This window comes from Homo sapiens, chromosome 7 (assembly GCF_000001405.40).
Source record: "Homo sapiens chromosome 7, GRCh38.p14 Primary Assembly".
NCBI classification, from domain to species: Eukaryota; Metazoa; Chordata; class Mammalia; order Primates; family Hominidae; genus Homo; species Homo sapiens.
The window spans coordinates 65,659,666-65,683,414 of record NC_000007.14 but is presented as its reverse complement, the minus strand read 5'-3'; the positions used below and the strand labels follow the sequence as shown (position 1 = coordinate 65,683,414).

Sequence of the window (23,749 nt, the reverse complement as noted above, 5' to 3'; positions counted from 1 at the left end):
CAGCACTTTGAGAGGCCAAGGCAGGAGGATCACTTGAGCCCAGGAGTTCAACACCAGCCTGGGCAACATAGTGAGACCCCATCTCTATAAAAAAAGTTAATTAAAAATAAATAAATAATATGTCACAGATTCCCCATGGGTACAGAGCAGAGAAAAGGAATCTACTATACTATATTTTAAAAAAGACTGATCGTCAGCATCTGCACATGTATAATTGGGTCCAGACTTAGCTACCTATTAGGTTTGTACTTAGTACTAAAGACACAAAGATGAACAAAAGCAAGACTATCCCCCAGGCTTACAAATAAGAACAGTTAATTGCATTACAGAGTGATGACTGTTGCCATGGAAAAGCACAGGGAATGTAAGAAAATGCATATGAAGAAATATAGCCCAATCAATGGGATCAGAGGTGGCTTTCTGTAATACGTGATCCCTAAAAACAATAACTAAAAGAGCTGCTAAGCCAAAAGAAAGAAAAAGGCCTTTCTAGAAGAAAAGCTGCATGCACAAAGTCCCAAAAAGGAGAGAGAAGATGGATAAATTAGAAGACTAGAAGTATGTGAGGCACTACACTAGAGTGAACAGCCAGCGAAATAAGGCTCCATTTCATTCCCAGCAATGCACCCCTAAAACCCAAATTTTCCCAGAATTGTATAAATGTGATAAAATTAGAAAGCTGTCATACCTGATACCTGGTTATGGTATACTCACTTTTTAAACTTAAGTTAATTTGATTACATCTTAATAACATTTGCAACACGAAGGATAAATCCTTGAGGAGATGGATACCTATCTATATGATGTGATTATTTCATATTTCATGCCTGTATCAAAACATCTCATGTACCCCTTAAATATATATACTAGTATGGAACCAAAAAAGGGCCCACATAGCCAAGACAATTCTAAGCAAAAAGAACAAAGCTGGAGGCCTCACGCTACCTGACTTCAAACTATACTACAAGGCTACAGTAACCAAAACAGCATAGTACTGGTACCAAAACAGATATATAGACCAATGGAACAGAACAGAGCCCTCAGAAATAACACCACACATCTACAACCATCTGATCTTTGACAAACCTGACAAAAACAACCAACAGGGAAAGGATTCTCTATTTAATAAATGGTGTTAGGAAAACTGGCTAGCCATACGCAGAAAACTGAAACTGGATCCCTTCCTTATACTTTATACAAAAATTAACTCAAGATGGATTAAAGGCTTAAATGTAAGACCTAAAACCATAAAAACCCTAGAAGAAAATCTAGGCAATACCATTCAGGACACGGGCATTGGCAAAGACTTCATGACTAAAACACCAAAAGCAACGGCAACGAAGCCAAAATTGACAACTGGGATCTAATTAAACTAAAGAGCTTCTGCACAGCAAAAGAAACTATCATCAGAGTGAACAGGCAACCTACACAATGGGAGAAAATTTTTGTAACCTATCCATCTGACAAAGAGCTAATATCCAGAATCTACAAGGAACTTAAATTCACACACACAAAAAAGAAAAAAACCATGACCCCATCAAAAAGTGGGCAAATGATACGAACAGACACTTCTCAAAAGAAGACATTTATGCAACCAACAAACATATTAAAAAAAGCTCATCATCACTGGTCATTAGAGAAATGCAAATCAAAACCACAGTGAGATACCATCTCACACCAGTTAGAATGGCGATCATTAAAAAGTCAGGAAACAACAGATGCTGGAGAAGATGTGGAGAAACAGGAACACTTTTACACTGTTGGTGGGAGTGTAAATTAGTTCAGCCATTGTGGAAGACAGTGTAGCGATTCCTCAAGGATCTAGAACCAGAAATACCATTTGACCCAGCAATCCCATTACTGGGCATATACCCAAAGCCTTATAAATCATTCTACTATAAAAACACATGCACACATATGTTTATTGCAGCACTATTCACAATAGTAAAGACTTGGAACCAACCCAAAGGCCCATCAGTGATAGACTGGATAAAGAAAACGTGGCACATATACACCATGGAATACCACGCAGCCATAAAAAAGGATGAGTTCATGTTATTTGCAAGGACATGGATGAAGCTGGAAACCATCATTCTCAGCAAACTAGCACAAGAACAGAAGACCAAACACCGCATGTTCTCACTCATAAGTGGGAGGTGAACAATGAGAACACATGGACACTGCAGGTGGGGGGGCATCACACACTGGGGCCTGTTAGGGGGTGGGGGGCTGGGGGAGGGATAGCATTAGGAGAAATACCTAACGTAGATGACGGGTTGACGGGTGCAGCAAACCACCATGGCACATGTATACCTATGTAACAAACCTGCACGTTCTGCACATGTACCCCAGAACTTAAAAGTATAAAAAAAAGTATTTAAAAAATCTTAATGGCAAACTGAAAACTGTATAACTAAATCATATAAATGTTAAAAGTGATGAAATTCAGTTGTAGAAACGCAACAAAGCAAAAATGCTAATAGAAACAAAATAGGTTTCAGTTACTCATTTTAGAGTAAAATAGGTTTTAATAACTGGACTTCCTTATTATCCAATATTATTTAAATTGTAATTCATATTTTAAGTTCATAGAGAATCAAAAAGCAGAGGTAGATTTACTTTCTATACATATGGAACATTTTAGAACAAATGATAGGATAACCCAATTCTTACATCTACTGATGAAAAACTTTCTTTCAAAAATAATATTCTTGCCCTTCTAAGAAGCAGTTCTATCCTGAGGTATGATTGTATAGGCATTTTTAAGACCTGGCACAGGTCTCTGGCACAAATTTACTGTAAAACGTGGACAATCAACATTACCTCACCAGGTCTGTTACCCTTGCTGATAATGAAGAGGCTGGAGTCAATCATCTCAAAGCACTGAAATTCTGAGATGTACGTGAGACAGACAGCATACGGAAATCACATGGGCTTTATAGGATGTCTATTACAAGATGGAGTAATGAGGACCGGCTTTTTCCTCCAAGGATGAGACAGAGACAAAATATATGAAACAACAGCATTCCAGACACTGGGCATCTGGCAATAAAGGACTGCAATCCCTGAGAGATGGGAAATAAATGAGGTGATCTCAATGATTACAATTCCGTTTAGAGAGACTCCAGGCACTAGGTCTTCTCTCCCTGAGTTGAGAAGATTGAGCTAGGAGTTTGGGAAGTCCAATGTGGCTAGAGTTCATAGAGCAAATTTCTGGAAAGGAGAGAACTACACAGAGAGACAGAGAGCTTGGGAGATCTGCAGATGGTCGCCTCAAGTCTTCAGCTGAATTCTGATCTGTGCGACAGAGACCATCTGAGGCCTGGAAAAGAACCACTCAAAACAATGAGAGGAAACAATCTCCAGAGGTCACACAGGGCCTATAAAACCACAGTTAACTTAGAAGAATTTTGCAGCCAGGTGTGGTGGCTTATGTCTGTCATCCTAAAACTCTGGGAGGCTGAGGTGGCCGGATTGCTTGAGGCCAGGACTTCAAGCCTGGCCTGGGCAACATGGCAAAACCCATCTCTACAAAAAATACAAAAATTAGCCAGGTGTGGTGGTGCCCACCTGTGGTCCTAGTTACTCAGGAGGCTGAGGTGGGAAGGTTGTTTGAGCCCAGGAGGTCAAGGCTGCAGCGAGCCGTGACTGTACCTTGGCACTCCAGCCTGGGCAACAGAGCAAGATCCTGTCTCAAAAAAAAAAAAAAAAAAAGAGAGAGAGAAAAAAGAAAAGAAGAGGTTTTGTGCTTCAAGTAGTGAAAAAGAAGAGTTTTTTGCTTCACTAGTGGAGAAAAGTAAGCTGTAGGCTAAATGCTACTCTAATCCTGCCTAACAAAGTATAAGACCTGAAAAAATGGATCCCAGAACAAAGCTCAAAAATATTTATAGGAATAAAATAATGTTCAGTATCCAATAAAGTGAAATCTATAATGTCTGGCATCCAATTAAAAATTATCAGACATGAAAAGACACAGGATGGAATATACACAGGATGAATATATAATACTGGAAGAAAAAAAATCAATCAAAACCAACCTAGGAATCACAGAAATAATAGTCCTAGTAAACAAGGATAGTAAGACAATATAAACATATTATCTGTTGACAAAGCTAGAGGAAAGATTAAGTATGTTAAGAAAGACATGGTAGATACTAAAAAGACCCAAACTCTTTCTTCTTTTTTTTTGAGACAGGGTCTTGCTCTGTCACCCAGACTGGAGTGCACTTGTGTGATCATGGCTCCTTGCAACCTCTAACTCCTGGGCTCAAGCAATCCTCCTGCCTCAGCCTCCCAAGTAGCTGGGACTAAAGGCAATGCACAACCATGTCTGGCTAATTTTAAATTTTTTGTAGAGATAGGGTCTCCTTATGTGGTCCAGGGTGGAAAAAACCCAAATTCTAATCAAACTTCTAGAGACAGAAACTACATGTCCGAGATGAAAAATATACTGGGTGGGATTAACATCAGATTATATCTTGCAACACTCAAAGACAAAGCAATAGATACTATCCAAAATCAAACACAAAGAGAAAATAAAAACTGGAGAAAGAAAGGAAGGAAGGAAGGAAGGAAGGAAGAATAGAGCATCAGTGAGCTGCAAAACAATGTCAGTATCCTAATGCATGTGTAATGAAAGTCGCCAAAGGGCCTGTAGAGTCAGAGAAATTTAAAAAAATAATAGTGGCTGGGTATGGTGGCTCACACCTGTAATCCCGGCACTTTGGGAGGCTGAAGCGCGCAGATAAGTTGAGCTCAGGGGTTTGAGACCAGCCTCGGCAACATGGCAAAACCCCGTCTCTACTAAAAATACAGAAATTAGCCGAGAGTGGTGGCGGGCACCTGCAGTCCCAACTACTGGGGAGGCTGAAGCACGAGAATTGCCTGAACTCAGGATGCAGAGATTGCAGTGAGCCAAGATCACACCACTGCACTTCAGCCTGGGCAAAACTCTGTCCCCGCCACACCCCCCGAAAAAAAAAGAGAGAGAAAGAAATAATAGCAAAAAAAAATTTCCAACTGTGATGAAAACTATTTGATTCAAGAAGCTCAACAAACTCCAAACAAAAGAAACATGACATGAACTATACTATACCTAGGCATATCATAATCAAATTGTTTAAAACCAGTGATAAAGAGAAATCTTAAAAGCAGCTTGAGATAAAAAGACACATTATATACAGAGGAAGATAAAAACGACAGCAGATTTCTCAACAGAAAACTATGGAGCAATATCATTAAAAGACTGGTAGAGGCCACGCACAGTGGCTCACGCCCGCAATCTCAACACTTTAGGAGGCCAAGGCAAAAGGATCACTTGAGCCCAGGAGTTCAAGACTGGCTTGGACAATATAGGGAGGCCCTGTCTCTGCAAAAAATTAAAAAATTAGCCGGGCATGGTGACATGTGCTTCTGGTCCCAGCTACTCGAGAGGCTGAGGTGGGAGGATTGCTTGGGTCCAGGAAGTCAAGGCTTCAGTGAGCTGTGATCACACCACTACACTCTAGCCTGGGTGACACAGTGAGACCCTGTCTCAAAAAACAAAAAAGTCTCTTGGAAAAAAAAAAACTTATTAATCTAGAATTGGATTCCCACAAAAATATCTTTCTATATTTATTTATTTATTTATTTATTTTTTGAGACAGAGTTTTGCTCTGTTGCTTGCCCAGGCTGGAGTGCTGTGGCACGATCTCAGCTCACTGCAACCTCTGCCTCCTGAGTTCAAGTGATTCTTGTGTCTGAGCCTCTCTAGCAGTTGAGATTACAGGTGCATGCCACCATACCAGCTATTTTTTGTATTTTTAGTAGATCCAGGGTTTCACCATGTTAACCAGGCTGGTCTTGAACTCCTGGCCTCAAGTGATCCTCCAGCCTCAGCCTCCCAAAGTGCTGGGATTACAGGTGTGAGCCACCACGCCTGGCCCAAAAATATCTTTCAAAAATGAAGGTGAAATAAAATATTCATCAGTCATATAAAGGTTTGGCAGTCAGACATACCTAGGTTTAAATCTTGCTCTGTCTCTTACTAGCTGGGTAAGTAATATCAAGTTATTATTTTTATTAATATCAATTTTAATTACCAATTATTAAGTGCTTATTATAAATAGGCACATGTATTATGCCAAGTGCTTTATGTATACAGAACCTCATTTAATTCTCACAACTCAGAAAGATAGTTATTATTATCCCTGTTTTATAAAAATGCTGGAATTTAAATATAGATTGACTGAACCCAAATCTCTTGCTCTTTACCATTGTCTCATACTACTGGGGCCTCAGTCTCTTCTGTGTGTAAAATAAAAAGCATAGTAAGTACTTCCCAGAGTTACTGTGAGGACTAAATGAAACGATACATGTGTATCACCCAGTACAATGCCTGACACACAGCAGTCACTTAAAGAGTGCTATTGCTATTATACAGTCATACTTACCATACATCTCATCTTCCAACCCATGAACAAAAGCTCCACAAGCTCCTGACTCAATCAAGTTCACAGCCCCGGTATCTACTTCTTCCTTGGGAGCATCATCTTCCCACTTTCTGCCACTGGAAAACTCCCCTGAACTGTAAAGTTCCTTGGCACGCTCATGTGCAGTACGTTTCCTCTGCAGAGGACAACAACAATTACCAATTGTAGGAGGTTCATGAAGGAACACTAAGATGAACCCTGAGAACATGGGAAGGCAGAAAATAAAACTGCTCTTTGAGAGTTACGTTTGTAAAAATTATCAGTAGTTCATACAAGAGAAATGCAAATTCAACTTAAAATGAAACCAAAGCCTTGCTGGTCTATAATAGCTGAAAGTACCTAATTAAAGAGGATAAAGATAGCTGAAGAATGTGTTAAGAAAGTTGGTTATGTTTGCTGTGGCAGCAACATAGGAAAAGAGAGAGCCAGAGAGGCAAATAATGGCAGTGCCCCTCCAAAAAACCATCTTGGGTAGACAATACAACAATTATCGGGCAGGGAGCAGGTGGCTCACACCTGTAATCCCAGCACTTTGGGAGGCCAAGGCAGGCTGATCATGAGGTCAGGAGATTGAGACCATCCTGGCCAACATGTTGAAACTCCATCTTTACTCTAAGTACAAAAATTAGCTGGGCGTGGTGGCACGTGCCTGTAGTCCCAGCTACTCAGGAGGTGGAGGTTGCAGTGAGCCGAGATCATGCCACTGCACTCCAGCCTGGCGACAGAGTGAGACTCTGCCTCAAAAAAAAAAATTATCTTCAGTCCCAGTAAAAGTATTTTTCTATTTGGCAACATTGCGTTCTATTTCAGCTACAGTACAGTCACTAAATAATCTAGTAAACTCACTTTACACAGAGATTGCCTAAGGTGGAATATACCGGTTAGTGTATCCAGTCCACTTGACAGTTATGGTTCTCATCACAAATGAATGACCTGGCACTCTGCTTTATACATCAGCCTCTCATGAAACCCCATCTCTAAAAAACTACAAAAAATTAGCCGGGTGTGGTGGTACACACCTGTAGTCCCAGCTACTCAGGAGGCCGACGTGAGAGGATCACTTGAGCCCAGGAGGCAGAGGTTGCAGTGAACCAAGATCGCACCACTGCACTCCAGCCTGGGCGACAGAGCGAGACCCTGTCTCAAACAAAACAAAACAAAACAAAACAAAACAAACAAACAAACAAAAAAACCACGCACCAGAAAAAGAGCTGAGAGACATATACCAAAATGACCAAAGTCATTATATTAGGGTAGCAGGCATATGGGTAAATTGTTTTCCTTTCCCTTATCAAAAATTCTACAACTCTATAATATCACTTTTATAATTTCAAAATTGAGGTACTAACAATGAATGTACATATTATTTTCTCAGACTCAAATTTGGTTCTGCAAACCACGTTAGTGAACCATCACAATCAAAGCTTAAGGGCATTTCATAAGAGGCATTTGGGGCCGGGCACAATGGCTCACATCTGTAATCCCAGCACTTTGGGAGGCAGAGGCAAGAAGACTGCCTGGGCTCAGGAGTTCAAGACCAACATGAGGAACAGAGCAAGACCTCATCTCTACTAAAGATAAAAAAAATTAGCTGGGCATGGTGAGGTATGCTTGTAGTCCCAGCTACTCAGGAGGGTGAGGTGGGAGGAATGCTTGAGCCCAGGAGATCAAAGTTGCATTGAGTAATGATTGTGCCACTGCGTTCCAGCCTGGGCAACAGAGTGAGACCCAGTTTCAAAAAAAAAAGAAGAAAAAATGGCGTGGGGTGGGGGGTATTTTGTTACTGTTTGGAGAAAGGCTTTACTCAGTCTTCCATGGTAACTGCTGCTGAAAAGGAGTCCTAAAATGTCATACCATCTCACAAAATGAGAATGGGCCTTTGTAGTTCCTAACAAATAGAAAATTAATCTTTTGGGGTTTTCTGGGGGTTTTTTGTTGTTGTTTTTTGGGTTTTGTTTTTTGAGACAGAGTCCCACTCTGTTGCCTAGGCTGGAGTGCAGTGGTGCGATCTCGGCTCACTGCAACCTCTGGTCTCCAGGGTTCAAGTGATTCTCTGCCTCAGTCACCCAAGTAGCTGGGACTACAGGCACATGCCACCACACCTAGCTAATTTTTGTTTTTTAGTTGAGACGGAGTTCATCATGTTGGCCGGACTGGTCTCAAACTCCCGGCCGCAAGTGATCTACCTGCCTCAGCCTCCCAAAGTGCTGGGATTACAGGTGTGAGCCACTGCACCTGGCTTAGAAAATTAATCTTGCCTCTTTTTTGTAAAGCATAACCTGTGCAAAGTATTTCATTACAATAATACGAAATTTAATGAAGTCACTTGTTATTTGCTTCAATTTACTAAGATTTTAAATTAAAATGTAATACAGTTCTCATACGTTAATTTAACAAATGCTGCTAAGTTAAATCAACACAACTCACAATACTGCCCCCCTACATTGGTTACAGAAACCCAGTTTAAACAACGAAGAATAAAAGGTACCCTCAGATCTGACATCAGCTTCTTGTCAAGGGTCTGCTCCAAGAAATGAGAACTGACTTGCTCCATAGAGCCCTATAAAAAGAAAAATCCAGAGCATATAAAACAACTTTTATGATTTGAACATTATCTTAAAATTCAGTCTATAGCCAATTTAAGTGCATAAAGATAATATTATTCATGACAGTAAAGATGCTATGGGTTCTGAATCAGCAGGAAAATAAAAATATTAGCAGCAGCTAACACCTAAATAGAGCTTACTATGTGTCACCTACTGTGCTTTCTTTCTTTTTTTTTTTCTTCCTGAGATGGAGTTTTGCTCTTGTCACCCAGGCTGGAGTGCAGTGGCATGATCTCAGCTCATTGCAACCTCCGCCACCCAGGTTCAAGCAATTCTCCTGCCTCAGCCTCCTGAGTAGCTGGATTACAGGTGCCCGCCACCATGTCCAGCTAATTTTTTTGTATTTTTAGTAGAGACGGGGTTTCACCACGTTGAGCAGGCTAGTCTCAAACTCCTGACCTCAGGTGATCTGCCTGCCTCGGCCTCCCAAAGTGCTGGGATTACAGGCGTGAGCCACCACGCCCGGCCACTATGTGTCATGTACTATTCTAAGGGCTTTAGACGTATATTAACTCATTTAAATCCTCACTATAACCCTGAGAAGTAAATACTATATTAGTCCCATTTTATATATGGAGAAAAGACACAAAAAGATTAAATAACATATTGACGGTCACAAAGAATAAATTCCAGAGCTAGGAGATAAATCCAGCCTCCAAAATCCTTTCCCTTAACGACTACTCTCCACTCCTTTTCATTCTTCTTTCCATTCATCTGTTCATTCATTCATGCATTCAATTAAACAAATATTTAGCAACCATTCAATTATATGTCTACAGTTACCAGGAACAAGAATACAAAAATAAAAAGACAACAGCTGTACACTCAACAATCTCACAGACTAGTAAGGGAAACTGACAAGGTATGCAATGCTGTAATACACATCTATGAATGATGACACGGGAATGGAGAGAACAAGCAGTATTAAGGTACAGGCAGGGAGAGGTATACTTGGAGAAATGAAAATCACAGTGCAAATGCCAAGTGGGAAATATTAAGTGGTTTTACGAATGGAACGTAAGATAGGGCTCCTGAAAATGAGGCAGTAGAGATAGGATAATAAAGAGCCTTATTTGCCATAGTAAGGGGTTTGCCTTATAAATAATTATTACATAATCCCTGTTAAACATCTAATGAGCTTAACAATGTATAAAATATTTTACTTATATTTTTCCAATTTATTCTTCCCAATAATCCCATATACCTCTTATCCCCATTTTCTAGATGACAAACGAGGCTGAGATTAGGCAACTTACTCATTTTAAGTAAGGGAGAACATAGATTTATATTTCATAAAGCCCATCTTGCAACAGTATGACTAATGGACCATAAGGAATCAAAATGAAAGCAAAAAGACTAGTTTCAGAGGCTGTTGGAGCAGGTCCTAGACGTTAAGAAATTTATCTGAGATCTTCTCTAATTCCTAAGTTAATAAATGCGGAAATGCTTATACAGGCTCAGATCTTTTCTCTAACCAAATTTTTCATAGAAAATTACATGTTCCTGGGGAATGTCCTTACTCAAGTTAACACCTTTCCTATGATTCCACAAAAACAACTGCTGTACTATTTTGACTAAAGTAGTTTCAAAACCACTTTTTCTTTTGTTACACAGATCTGAGTCAATGTCATATCTAACATCCATTTTTTAAATCCCAACAACAATTTTATAAATAAGAACTATAAACGCTTAAGACCTCCTAAATCTCTCTCTACTTTTACCACCAGCATTAGCTGTTGGCTTTTTTCTACTAGAATAAAAGTTTTCATGACTTCACAGTAAGTTGCTTCATCCATAATTCCCAGTGCCCTCCTCCAATGCCCTCAGCTGCACGCTCAACCAACACAGCAGCACAGAGGGAGTACTATGCAAATTTGTGCCCCCCAAAATTAAATATCATTACTTGAAATAAATTTTCAATGTCACCTAAGAATAGGTGAAGCTTTCCATTTTAAGTCCACAGACACAGAGTCCTATAGCATAGTAATCCACTTGAAAAATGGTGAGATGTCTATTACTGCAGGACCAGTGGAAATGGAGAAGGGATGGATTTAGGGGATGTCAAGAAGGAAGAACTGATATGAGTTGTGACTCAATGGATGTAAGACATAGAAAAACTATTCCTAAATTCCTCTGGTTCATGACTTAGCAGATGATAGTATCACTTACGAAAACATAGAGAAACAGATTTGGACCAAAAAGATAATGAGTTCATTATAAAGTGCACCTCACCAATGAGAAAAAAAGCTACATTCTGGTATACTTTAACCAAGACAAATATGTTTAGATTAAGATGGAATCTCTCCAACTGTACTACTAGCACTACTTAACAACCTAAATTTAGGTAGTTAATGCTATGAAAACCTTACTTAACACTGAGAAAACCATTTCACTTGAGAGCCTTATTAAATGTATGTGAAATTTAGATACAAGATATTTAACAATTATCACACCTGCTTGAAGAGCAAAAACTGCTCAACTGGTATAAATAACATAAGTCTATGCAACTGGGTGATAAGTACATCAGACATAAAACTGCCACTAACTAGGAATATCTGCATTTACCCTGGGAAAGACCAGTCATGGGCAGACTTACAGGCATAAAAGTCTATAACCTAACAGTCTGAAAATGTTGTAATTTTCAAGGTCAATGACTTCTTAAGGCTTATAAAAGTAGTGATTGTATTCTAAATAGTCCCATGAATCTGCTTACTGGGACCTCAAGTTTCTTTGCCCCACAAAGAGGGCAGTTATAAATAAGTAAAAGCTAACCTCTTTTACATGGTTTTGAATTTTCTGATATAACACATATCAGAAAATTTTTCATACGCTATAAGCCAAAGGGATTGGAAACTATTCACTTTTTAAGCAAGATAGACTCGAGGCTACAAAGCTAAGTTGTTGCAGAACCTGGCTTCTGTTTTCCTCTCCAACTTACCTCATTACAGATCCCCTATATTGAACATTACCCCCCAACTAGAAAGCACTAGACTGCTTGTAGTTTAGTATGATATTGCAGCTTAGTATATTGCTATGCATGATAATGTACTGCTTTTATATCCCTGCTCATATTTTCTCTTTCTCTGCATTGCTACCTAGTTACTCATCCTTCAAAACTCAGTTCAGAGATCAGCTCCTCCAAGAAGGCTTCTGTGGTTGTGGTTGGTGCTCTTTCCTACCAGTACCAGGTATTGTTATTCACTGATTAGCTATCCCTGGCTACCTGACTGTCAACTTCGTTGCAGACAGAAACTGTCCTCGGTGTTTGTCGATTTGCTGAACAGGTGATCTAAAGATTATACAGGTTGAACATCCCAATTCCAAAAATCTGAAATCCAAAATGCTCCAAAATCCAAAACTTTTTGAGTACCAACATGATGCTCAAAGGAAATGTTCACTGGAGCACTTCAGATTTTGGATTTTGGAGCATATTTCAGATTTGGGATGCCCAACAAGTAAGTCTAATACAAATAAAATATTCCAAAATCCAAAAACAAAACAAAACAAAACAAAATCCAAAACACTTCTGGTCTCAAGCATTTTGGATAGGGGATACTCAATCTGTATGCAGATTTGTTTAAAAAAAATGGCTCACCAGAGTTACCTGGCACACATCACCCACAACAAAAAGAGACCAAAATAACAAATAACTATATTTCAACTAAAATGACTGTAGATATATGCTGCAGAGCACCAGAGAAAGGGCAAAATCCCTGTGGAACATGGAAGCCTCAGGATAGCACCACAGGGTGAGGCTTCCTACCTGCCACATTGTCTCCCTTGCCAAAATCAGCTTAAAATCAGAGGAACTTCTTACAGGGAAAGAGTAAGCTGGAGATACCTATCAGTGGTCCCCACTGCTGCCACAGGCACCAGCAATTCTTGATAAAGGACAGTCCTTAAGTCCTCAGTGGCCACAAATCCAGTCTGGAGAGTAGCCAAGAGATCATTCAGCTGTATTGCCTCAGAGTGGGAGCCCACCTTGTCCTAAGCTGCTGTAGCATGGCACCAAGTTGAAGCTAGACTCACTACTAGTGTGCATCCTGCCCTGGGGACCAGTAGCAACTGACTCTCTTCATCCCTGAGAACCAGCCATCATTCTACCGTGATCACACGATGGCCTGCAGCACCATAACCCCATCCACATAGAGTCTAGGTCAAACAGAGTGACGATGATTTCAGCATCAGACCCCACACAGCGCTACCAACCACCCAGAAAACAGGCAGACCTGCACAGCAAGGAAGCCATCAAATAGATAGCTGGCAGCGCTTTACCCAACACCCCTGTTCCATACAACCATCTGGGCTGCCAAGTATGCATGCGCCAGTACTCAGCCAAAAAGCCAATCCTGCGGCAGCCCTACTTCCTCACAACCCATCACAGAACCACCTGCCCACGCCCTGCCTGATAGCTGGCAATTCAGTGGTCCTGTCCCCTAAAACAGGCCACAATAGAGTCCCACAGTCCCACAGCACACAGTCCAACTGGTCCTGTGGTAGCCCTGGCCCCCTACCATAGACTGCTGCCAAACTGCCCAGCCCCACTGCACAAAAGCATTTGAGCCTAGCCCAAAGCAACAGCCAACCAGGCAGTAGCCCCATCTCCCTACGTAGCCACAGAGCTGCCCAGCAGGCCGCTGCAGCAAAGGCCTGAGCCCAGCACGACAGCCACCACAGCAGTAACTACCGCCTCCCTGGAAAACCAGATAGACAGCCTGGCAGCCATTTTAGCCTGTACATGTCTTGGCCAAAAATCAGCTCGGTACCCTCATCTTATAGCATTGCCATCACAAACTCCCACAGCCTAGGCAACTGAGGCAATTGCAAACATCAATGACTAGGATTATAGCTGAAGATTACAGCTGAAGCTGACAAGGATTATTACACCACCCATTGAGTCCACCCAGAACCAAAGGCAACACACCATACCCAGCTAATACCCTAAAACCATCTACAGAAAAAGACTGTTACTATATACTAGCTACTCAATAAAATTGAAAAGAGCAACTACGCTACTAAATGCACACATATCAACATCCAGTATCTTGCACACGATAAATGAAAATCAAGGAAACATGACACCCTCAAAGGAATACGGTTAAGTCTCCTGGCTGGGCGCAGTGGCTCACATCTGTAATCCCAGCACTTTGGGAGGCCAAGACAGCCAGATAGCATGAGCTCAGGAGTTCAAGACCATTCTGGGCAACATGGCAAAACCCGTCTCTACAAAATATAAAAAAATTAGTCGGGTGTGGTGGCATGCGCCTGTAGTCCTAGCTACTCAGCAGGCTGAGGTGGGAGGATCACTTAAACCCAGGAGGAGAAGGTTGCAATGAGCTGAGATCATGCCACTGCCCTTCAGCCTGGGTGACAGAGCAAGACCCTGTCTCAAAAAAAAAAAAAGGAAAAAAGTCTCCAATGACAGACCCCAAAGAAAAGGACACTTACAAAATGCCTGAAAAGGAATTCAAAATAGTGATCTAAAGGAAACTCAGTAAGATACAAGAGAATACAGACAAACAATTAAATGAAATCAGGAAAACAATTCATGATCCGAATGAGCAATTCAACAGAAATCAATATCATAAAAAAGAACCAAACAGAAATCTTGGAACTGAAGAATTCAATGAAAAAAATAAAAATAGTATACAATTGAGAGCTTCAACAATAGACTAGGATCAAGCAGAAGAAAGAATTTCTGACCTTGAAGACAGGTCTTTTGAAATAACCCATTAAGAGGGAAAAAAAAACAAATAAGAATAAAAAAGAAAGCCTTGGAACATATGGGACATCAATAGGCAAACAAATACTTGCATTGAAGATTGCCTGATGGAGAAGAGATAGAGAAAGGCGCAGAAAACCTATTTGATGAAATGATAGCTGAAAACTTGCCAAGTAGTGGGAGAAATACGGACATCCAGATTCAGGAAGTTCAAAGGTTCGCAATTACATTCAACCCAAAAAGATCCTCTCCAAGGTGCATTATAATCAAACTATCGAAAGTCAAAGAGTAAGACTTTCAAAGCTGCAAGAGAAAATTGTCAAGAGAATCTCCATTACTATCAATAGATTTCTCAGTAGAAACCTTGTAGACCAGCAGAGAATGGGATAGAATTAATATATTCAAGGTATTGAATGCTACAACTAGAAACAAAAGGACAATAATCACTATCATAACAACACACAAAAGTATAAAACTCACCAGTAAAGGTAAACTCATAAATCAAACAGATCAAACCCCAGTGATACAATATGTCATATAAAATATTCAATCTGCTAGTATGAAGGTTAAATTTAAAATGGTCAAAAACTACAACAGCTACAAATAGTAGCTAAGGAACACATAACAGATGAAGAAGAAAATTAAGGCAACAAAAATATAAATTGAAGGGGGAGGGAAAAAACCTAGGGTCCTTTTATGTAACCAAAGTTGAGTTGCTATCAGCTTAAAACATTCTATTGTAACTGCAAGACTTTTTTTTTCCCCTTTGAGACAGTCTTACTCTGATGCCCACGCTAGAGCATAGTGGCCTGATCATGGCTCACTGCAGCCTCAATCTTCCAGGCTCAAGTGGTCCTCCCACCTCAGCCTCCTGGGTAGCTGAGACTACAGGTGTGTGCCACCATGCCCGGCTGATTTCTTTTTTCTTTATTTAGTAGAAACGAGGTCTCACTATGTTGCCCAGGCTGGTCTCAAACTCATGAGCTCAAGCGATCTGCCTGCCTCAGCCTCCCAAAGTGCTGGGATAATAGGCAAGAGCCACCACACCAGCCTAACTGAAGACTCTATGTAGAAAAAAGTTACAGCAGATACACAAACAAGAAAGAGAATGAAAACAAAGCTTGGCCCCACAGAAAACCACTAAATCAGAGGTAAACAACAAGAAAGGAAGACAAGAACAAAGGATCTCCAAAACCACCAAAAAGTAATTAACAAAATGGCAGGAATAAGACCTTATCTATCAATAACAATCCTGAATATAGCTGGACACGGTGGCTCATGCCTGTAATCCCAGCACCTTGGGAGGCCAAGGCAAGCGAATCACTTGAGGCCAGGAGTTTGAGACCAGCATGGCCGACATGGCAAAACCCGTCTCTAATAAAAATGCAAAAAAATTAGTTGGGCATGGTGGCACATGCCTGTAATCCCGGTACTGGGGAGGCTGGGGCACGAGAATCACTTGAACCCAGGAGGTGAAGGTTGCAGTGAGTTGAGATCACACCAGTGCATTCCAGCCTAGGTGACGGAGTGAGACCCTGTCTCAAAGAAACAAAAAAAAAAAAAAAAGAAGAAGAAGAAGAAGAAGTAGAAAAAAATCTTGAATATAAATGGATTAAGTTCTTCAATTAAAAGGTACACTACAGCCTGGGCAACAGAGAGACACCCTGTCTCAAAGAAAGAAAGAAAAAAAAGGTATACATTGGTTGAATAGATTAAAACACAAAATCTAAGTATACATTGCCTAGAAGAAACACGCTTCACAAGCAAGAATCAAAACATATACCAAAACCTATGGTATGCAACAAAAGCAGTTCTAAGAGATAAGTATACAGCAATAAATGGCTACATCAAAAAAGAAGAACAATCTGGTTTTTAATTTTTTTTAGGGACAGTTTCGCTGTTGTCCAGGCTGGAGTCCCCAGGAGTTTGAGGTTGCTGTGAGCTATGACTGTGCAATCGTGGAACCGCACTCCAGCCTAGGCAACAGAGCAAGACCCTGACTTAAAGAAAATAAAAAAAGAATAAAATCTTGTAATTTGCCACATCGATTAACCTGGAGGACATCATGTAAAGTGAAATAAGCCAGACATGGAAAGACAAATACTGCATGATCTAAGACTTAAACATAAGACCTAAAACCATAAAAACCCTAGAAGAAAACCTAGGCAATACCATTCAGGACATAGGCATGGGCAAAGACTTCATGACTAAAACACCAAAAGCAATGGCAACGAAGCCAAAATTGAGAAATAGGTTCTAATTAAACTAAAGAGCTTCTGCACAGCAAAAGAAACTATCATCAGAGTGAACAGGCAACCTACAGAATGGGAGAAAGTTTTTGCAATCTATCCATCTGACAAAGAGCTAATATCCAGAATCTAAAAAGAACTTAAACAAATTTACAAAAAAAAAAAAAACAACAAAACCCCATCAAAAAGTGGGTGAAGGATATGAACAGACACTTCTTAAAAGAAGACATTTATGCGACCGACAAACATATGAAAGAAAGCTCATCATCACTGGTCATTAGAGAAATGCAAATCAAAACCACAATGAGATACCATCTCACACCAGTTAGAATGGCAATCATTAAAAAGACAGAAAACCACAGGTGCTGGAGAGGATGTGGAGAAATAGGAACACTTTTACACTGTTGGTGGGAGTGTAAATTAGTTCAGCCATTGTGGAAGACAGCATGGCGATTCCTCAAGGATCTAGAACCAGAAATACCATTTGACCCAGGAATCCCATTACTGGGTATATACCCAAAGGATTATAAATCATTCTACTATAAAAACACATGCACACGTATGTTTATTGCAGCACTGTTCACAACAGCAAAGACTTGGAACCAACCCAAAGGCCCATCAATGATAGACTGGACAAAGAAAATGTGGCGCATATACAGCATGGAATACCATGCAGCCATAAAAAAGGATGAGTTCATGTTCTGTGCAGGGACATGGATGAAGCTGGAAACCATCACTCTCAGCAAACTAACACAAGAACAGAAAGCCAAATACCATATGTTCTCACTTATAAGTGAGAGTTGAACAATGTGAACACATGGACACAAGGAGGGAAACATCACACACCAGGGACTGTCAGAGGGTGGGGGGCTCGGAGAGGGACAGCATTAGGAGAAATACCTAATGTAGATGATAGGTAGACGGGTGCAGCAAACTACCATGGCACATGTATACCTATGTCACAAACCTGCACGTTCTGCACATGTATCCCAGAACTTAAAGTATTCAGAAAAAAATTGATATCATAGAGGCAGAGAGTATAACAGTGGTTAGCAGACACTGGGGAGGGGAGGGAGTAGGAGAGAATGGGAAGAGACTGGACAACAGATACAAAGTCACAATTAAGAGAAATAAATTCTGGTGTTCAACTGCACATAAAGGTGACTATGATTAACAGGAAAATATTGTATATTACAAAATATACAATATTATAGCTGTAAGAGAGGCTGTTGAAAGTTCATGACAAAGAAATGATAAATATATGATGTGATAACTATACTAACTATCCTGATTGGATTAATATTCAACATAGATGTGTATCAAAACATCAACTTGTGCCCCATATATACAATGTGTCAATTTTTGTTTGTTTGTTTTATTATACTTTAAGTTTTAGGGTACATGTGCACAATGTGCAGGTTAGTTACATATGTATACATATGCCATGTTGGTGTGCTGCACCCATCAACTCGTCATTTAACATTAGGTATATCTCCTAGTGCTATACCTTCCCCCTCCCCCCACCCCACAACAGGCGCTGGTGTGTGATGTTCCCCCTCCTGTGTCCATGTGTTCTCATTGTTCAATTCCCACCTATGAGCGAGAATATGCGGTGTTTGGTTTTTTGTCCTTGCGATAGTTTGCTGAGAATGATGGTTTCCAGCTTCATCCATGTCCCTACAAAGGAAATGAACTCATCCTTTTTTATGGCTGCATAGTATTCTATGGTGTATATGTGCCACATTTTCTTGATCCAGTCTGTCATTGTTGGACATTTGGCTTGGTTCCAAGTCTTTGCTATTGTGAATAGTGCCACAATAAACATACGTGTGCTTGTGTCTTTATAGCAGCGTGATTTATAATCCTTTGGGTATATACCCAGTAATGGGATTGCTGGGTCAAATGGTATTTCTAGTTCAAGATCCCTGAGGAATCGCCACAGGTACCAAAACAGAGATATAGATCAATGGAACAGAACAGAGCCCTCAGAAATAATGCCGCATATCTACAACCATCTGATCTTTGACAAATCTGACAAAAACAAGAAATGGGGAAAGGATTCCCTATTTAATAAATGGTGACGGGAAAACTGGCTAGCCATATGTAGAAAGCTGAAACTGGATCCCTTCCTTACACCTTAGACAAAAATTAATTCAAGATGGATGAAAGACTTACATGTTAGAACTAAAACCATAAAAACCCTAGAAGAAAACCTAGGCAATACCATTCAGGACCCAGGCATGGGCAAGGACTTCATGTCTAAAACACCAAAAGCAATGGCAACAAAAGCCAAAATTGACAAATGGGATCTAATTAAACTAAAGAGCTTCTGCACAGCAAAAGAAACTACCATCAGAGTGAACAGGCAACCTACAGAATGGGAGAAAATTGTTGCAATCTACTCATCTGACAAAGGGCTAATATCCAGAATCTACAATGAACTCAAACAAATCTACAAGAAGAAAACAAACAGCCCCATGAAAAAGTGGGTGAAGGATATGAACAGACACTTCTCAAAAGAAGACATTTATGCAGCCAAAAGACACAGGAAAAAATGCTCATTCATCACTGGCCATCAGAGAAATGCAAATCAAAACCATAATGAGATACCATCTCACACCAGTTAGAATGGTGATCATTAAAAAGTCAGGAAACAACAGGTGCTGGAGAGGATGTGGAGAAATAGGAACACTTTTACACTGTTGGTGGGACTGTAAACTAGTTCAACCAATGTGTCAATTTTTAAAAATTAATTAATTTTTAATGAAAGATTATACACAAATCACTTGATCCCAGGTTTATCTACTGGAGAGCTGGAGTAGGGCAGCTTTACCTCTTAGCTTGCACAGAGATACTAATAAACCAGCAGGGCCTTAACTGGCCAATCCCAATGTGTAACTGGATACTCACCAGGAAAGGATTATACATGGGCTTTAGATTATGAAGTTTGAAGTCCTCATCTATCATTTACTATCTGTGCGGTCTCAGAAAAATTATACCACATTCCTAAATTTTAATTTTGCTATTTATAAGTAATACATTTACCTCAGAGAGTTTAAAAAGATTAAAAGTTACTTGCAAAAGTATGCAAATGAGTTAGGCATGTGTGCTTGTATATAAAGAAGTGGGTTAATATTTATGTGTGAATATGTGTGTATTTATGTGTGTATGTATGACTAAAAATGCCTCACTTAGTAGGCCAGGAACTCTATACATAGTAGTAATTATTATTATCAGCAAGGTAAGAATGATTATTATTTCTGAATACAAACATAATTACTTATATAATTTGAAGCTGTTTGGATTTAACATGGAATTATAACACAAGGCATGTGACTCAAGTTAGAGTCATTCAAGTAGAAATCCTTTCAATGTACCATATGTTATACATACAACTTTATGCAAATAAATTTCAGATCCTATAGAGTACAAAATTGAAAATTTTGAATGATTCTTACTTTAAGGATTACTTTTTAAAACTGCCTATTCAGGTAAAGATATATCATTAATTTACTCCTCTAAAACATCTTTCTCTTCCCCACTCCCACCTAGAGTTCGTTGTAGATCCTCTGTAAATGCCAAATGAAAGGATCTGATGAATGATTAGACTGTTCTGAATTTTAAAACATTCATAACCCAAAAGAAAGTTTTAAAATATGAATTCAGAAATAAAATCAGTAACAGCTGGCTTGTTTAACTCTAATATGCACAAGAGTGGAAATACTCCAATCATCCATTACTATATCTCATGAAAATGCTTCACACAGGTTTCAGCAAGTACTCCCATAAATACTGGTCACAGGACTAAAGCTATCACTGGATCAGTGTCCAGTACAGTCAGAAACAAAGCATTCAGCCAACAGTCTCACCAAGAGTGGCAGGGCTGGGGGCACTCAAAGGGGAAGTGTCCAAAAAGAATCACAGATTTTCCTGCTGTGACACGTATACAAATTTTTATAGATACTTACACACACATATAGTTATATACTATGCCCCCATCCACCCTACATAGTATAGTACTTTTTAGTTTATAAACATTTTCATAGACTGTATCTCATTTGAGCATCATGACAACACTGTCAGGTAAATATGAGAGATATTAGAACCCCACTTAACAGATGAGGAAACTGAGACTAATATCAAGTGACATATACAAGGTAACACAGATATAAAATAAGGCTATTAGGCCAACACTCTATTACAAAACAATTTTATCCCTTAAAAGTTAAACAATTTTTTTTTTGAGACAGGGTCTCGCTCTTTTGCACAGGCTGGAGTGCAATGGCACAATCTCAGCTCACTGCAACCCCTGCCTCCCAGGTTCAAGTGATTCTCCCACCTCAGCCTCCAGAATAGCTGGAACTACAGGTGTGTGTCATCACACCAGGCTAGTTTTTGTATTTTTAGTAGAGATGGGGTTTCACCATGTTGGCCAGGCTGGTCTCGAACTCCTGACCTCAAGTGATTTGCCCGCTTCGGCCTCCCAAAGTGCTGGGATTATAGGTGTGAGCCACTGCGCCTCTGCCTCCCGGGTAACCTCTGCCTCCCGGGTAACCTCTGCCTCCCGGGTTCAAGCGATTCTCCTGTCTCAGCTTCCCAAGTAGCTAGGACTAGAGGCGTGCACCACCACGCCCAGCTAATTTTTGTATTTTTAGTAGAGACGGGGTTTCACCATGTCGGCCAGGATGGTCTCAATCTCTTGACCTCGTGATCCGCCCACCTTGGCCTCCCAAAGTACTGGGATTACAGGCGTGAGCCACAAAAGTTAAAAATTTTCAATAAATGTGCTGAGTCCTCAAAAAGAAAACAGAAAAGTACCAGGCTAAAAGATGCAAGATCAGGATCTGACCTCACTCTACAATTTTCTGTCTGTATAAGCTGGATAACTTACTTAACTCCTCAGAGCCTTAGTTTTCTCATCTAGAAAATGATAACAGCATTTAAAAAAAATTTTTTTAAATTTTATTTTTTGAAAAATAGAGATGGGATCTTGGTGTGTTGCCCAGGCTGGTCTTGAACTCCTGGGCTCAAGTGACCCACCCACCTCGGCCTCCTAAAGTGCTAGGATTATGGGCATGAGCCACCATGCCCCAACTGGATAATGGCATCTATCTTGCAGGATTACTGTAAAGAGAAAATGAGAAAATATATGTAAGGGGCCTCCTTCAAATTATCTAAGATAGTGGTCCCCCACCTTTTTGGCATCTGGGTTCAGTTTCATGGAAGAAACCAGAGAGGGTAGTGAAGCAGGGTGGTTTTAGGATGAAACTGTTCCACCTCAGATCATCAGGAATTAGACTCTCACAAGGAGCATGAAACCTAGATCCCACACATGCTCAGTTCACAATAGGGTTCACACTCCTATGATAATCTAATGCAGCTGCTGATCTGACAGCAGGCAGCACTCAGGCAGTAATACTTGCTCATCTACCACTCACCTCCTGTTGTGTGGCCTGGTTCCTAACAAGCCATGGACCAGGACTGGTCCACAGCCTGGGGGTTTGAGCCTCCTGAACTAGGACATAACAAGTGCTTAATAAATGGGAAAAACTTTTTTTTTATTGTTTTCCTTTTTCTCTAGGCTCCGGCTATCTTAATTCCTAGTAGGGTTAATAGAATTATGTTTTAAGATTCTTTCTAGTTCTAAAAGTGAACAGGAGAGTGAACTATTTCTTTCTATATTAAGAAATTCTGGGGCTGGGAGTAGTGGCTTAAACCTGTAATCCCAACAATTTGGGAGGCCAAGGCAGAAGGATCACTTGAGCCTAGGAATTCAAGACCAGCCTGGGCACAAAGCAAGACCCCATCTCTACAAAAAATACAAATTAGCTAGGCAGGGTGGCACATGCCTGTAGTCCCAGCTACTCAGGAGGCTGAGGTGGAAGGATCGCTTGAGCCTGGCAGGTCGAGGCTGCAGTGAGCCGTGACTGCACCATTGCACTCCTGCCTGAGCAACAGAGGAAGACCCTGTCTCAAGAAAAGAAAAAGAAAAAGAAATTCTGGGGTTTTAAATTCAGGTCACACTGCCCCATCTGTAGTTTCTCAAAATGTTTGTAAAAACTTAACAAGCAATGTGTTCATTTAAAAAAAGGATTATTGGCTGGGTGTAGTGGCTCACATCTATAATCCCAGCCTTTTTTTTTTTTTTTTAAGATGAGAGTCTCCTCCTTGTCACCAGGCCGGAGTCCAGCAGCGTGATCTTGGCTCGCTGCAACTTCCACCTCCGGGTTCAAGCGATTCTCCTGCCTCAGCCTCCCAAGTAGCTGGGATTACAGGCGTGCGCCACCATGCCCCAGCTAATTTTTGTATTTTTAGTAGAGACGGGGTTTTACCATGTTGGCCAGGATGGTCTCAATCTCCTGACCTCGTGATCCACCCGCCTTCGCCTCCCAAAGTGCTGGAATTACACCCAGCCTATAATCCCAGTCTTTTGGGAGGCTGAGGCAGGAGGACTGCTTGAGGCCAAGAGTTTGAGACCAACCTGGGCCACACAGGCCTCATTTCTACAGAAAAGAAAACAAATAAATATATACATGCATTCATACATACATAAAAAGTATAACTTACCAACAGTTTTGCTGCCTGAACATGAACCACCCAAGAGCCATCACTGACCATGTGACAAATTTTTCCAAACGCATCATCAACTAAGCGTATTTCTTCATTAGAAGAAGGAATTGGGACAATGCTAAATTAAAAGAA

General features: G+C 40.4%; 1 long non-coding RNA gene and 1 pseudogene across 2 annotated transcripts in view; one reads left to right on the top strand and one right to left on the bottom strand.

The window, feature by feature from the left end:
* The window catches only part of LINC03006 (long intergenic non-protein coding RNA 3006), a 123,801-nt gene that overhangs the window by 87,396 nt on the left and 12,656 nt on the right, over positions 1-23,749 (top strand). Inside the window, exon 4 of the long non-coding RNA NR_038378.4 lies at positions 12,176-12,264. This is a non-coding gene — a long non-coding RNA (long intergenic non-protein coding RNA 3006). The remainder of the gene's footprint in view (positions 1-12,175; positions 12,265-23,749) is intronic.
* Positions 1-23,749, bottom strand: part of INTS4P2 (integrator complex subunit 4 pseudogene 2) — a 70,835-nt pseudogene that overhangs the window by 35,274 nt on the left and 11,812 nt on the right. Inside the window, exons 2-4 of the transcript NR_027392.2 lie at positions 23,615-23,735; positions 8,959-9,030; positions 6,432-6,606 (exon numbers count right to left, since the gene is read on the bottom strand). The product of NR_027392.2 is annotated as an integrator complex subunit 4 pseudogene 2 (transcript). The remainder of the gene's footprint in view (positions 1-6,431; positions 6,607-8,958; positions 9,031-23,614; positions 23,736-23,749) is intronic.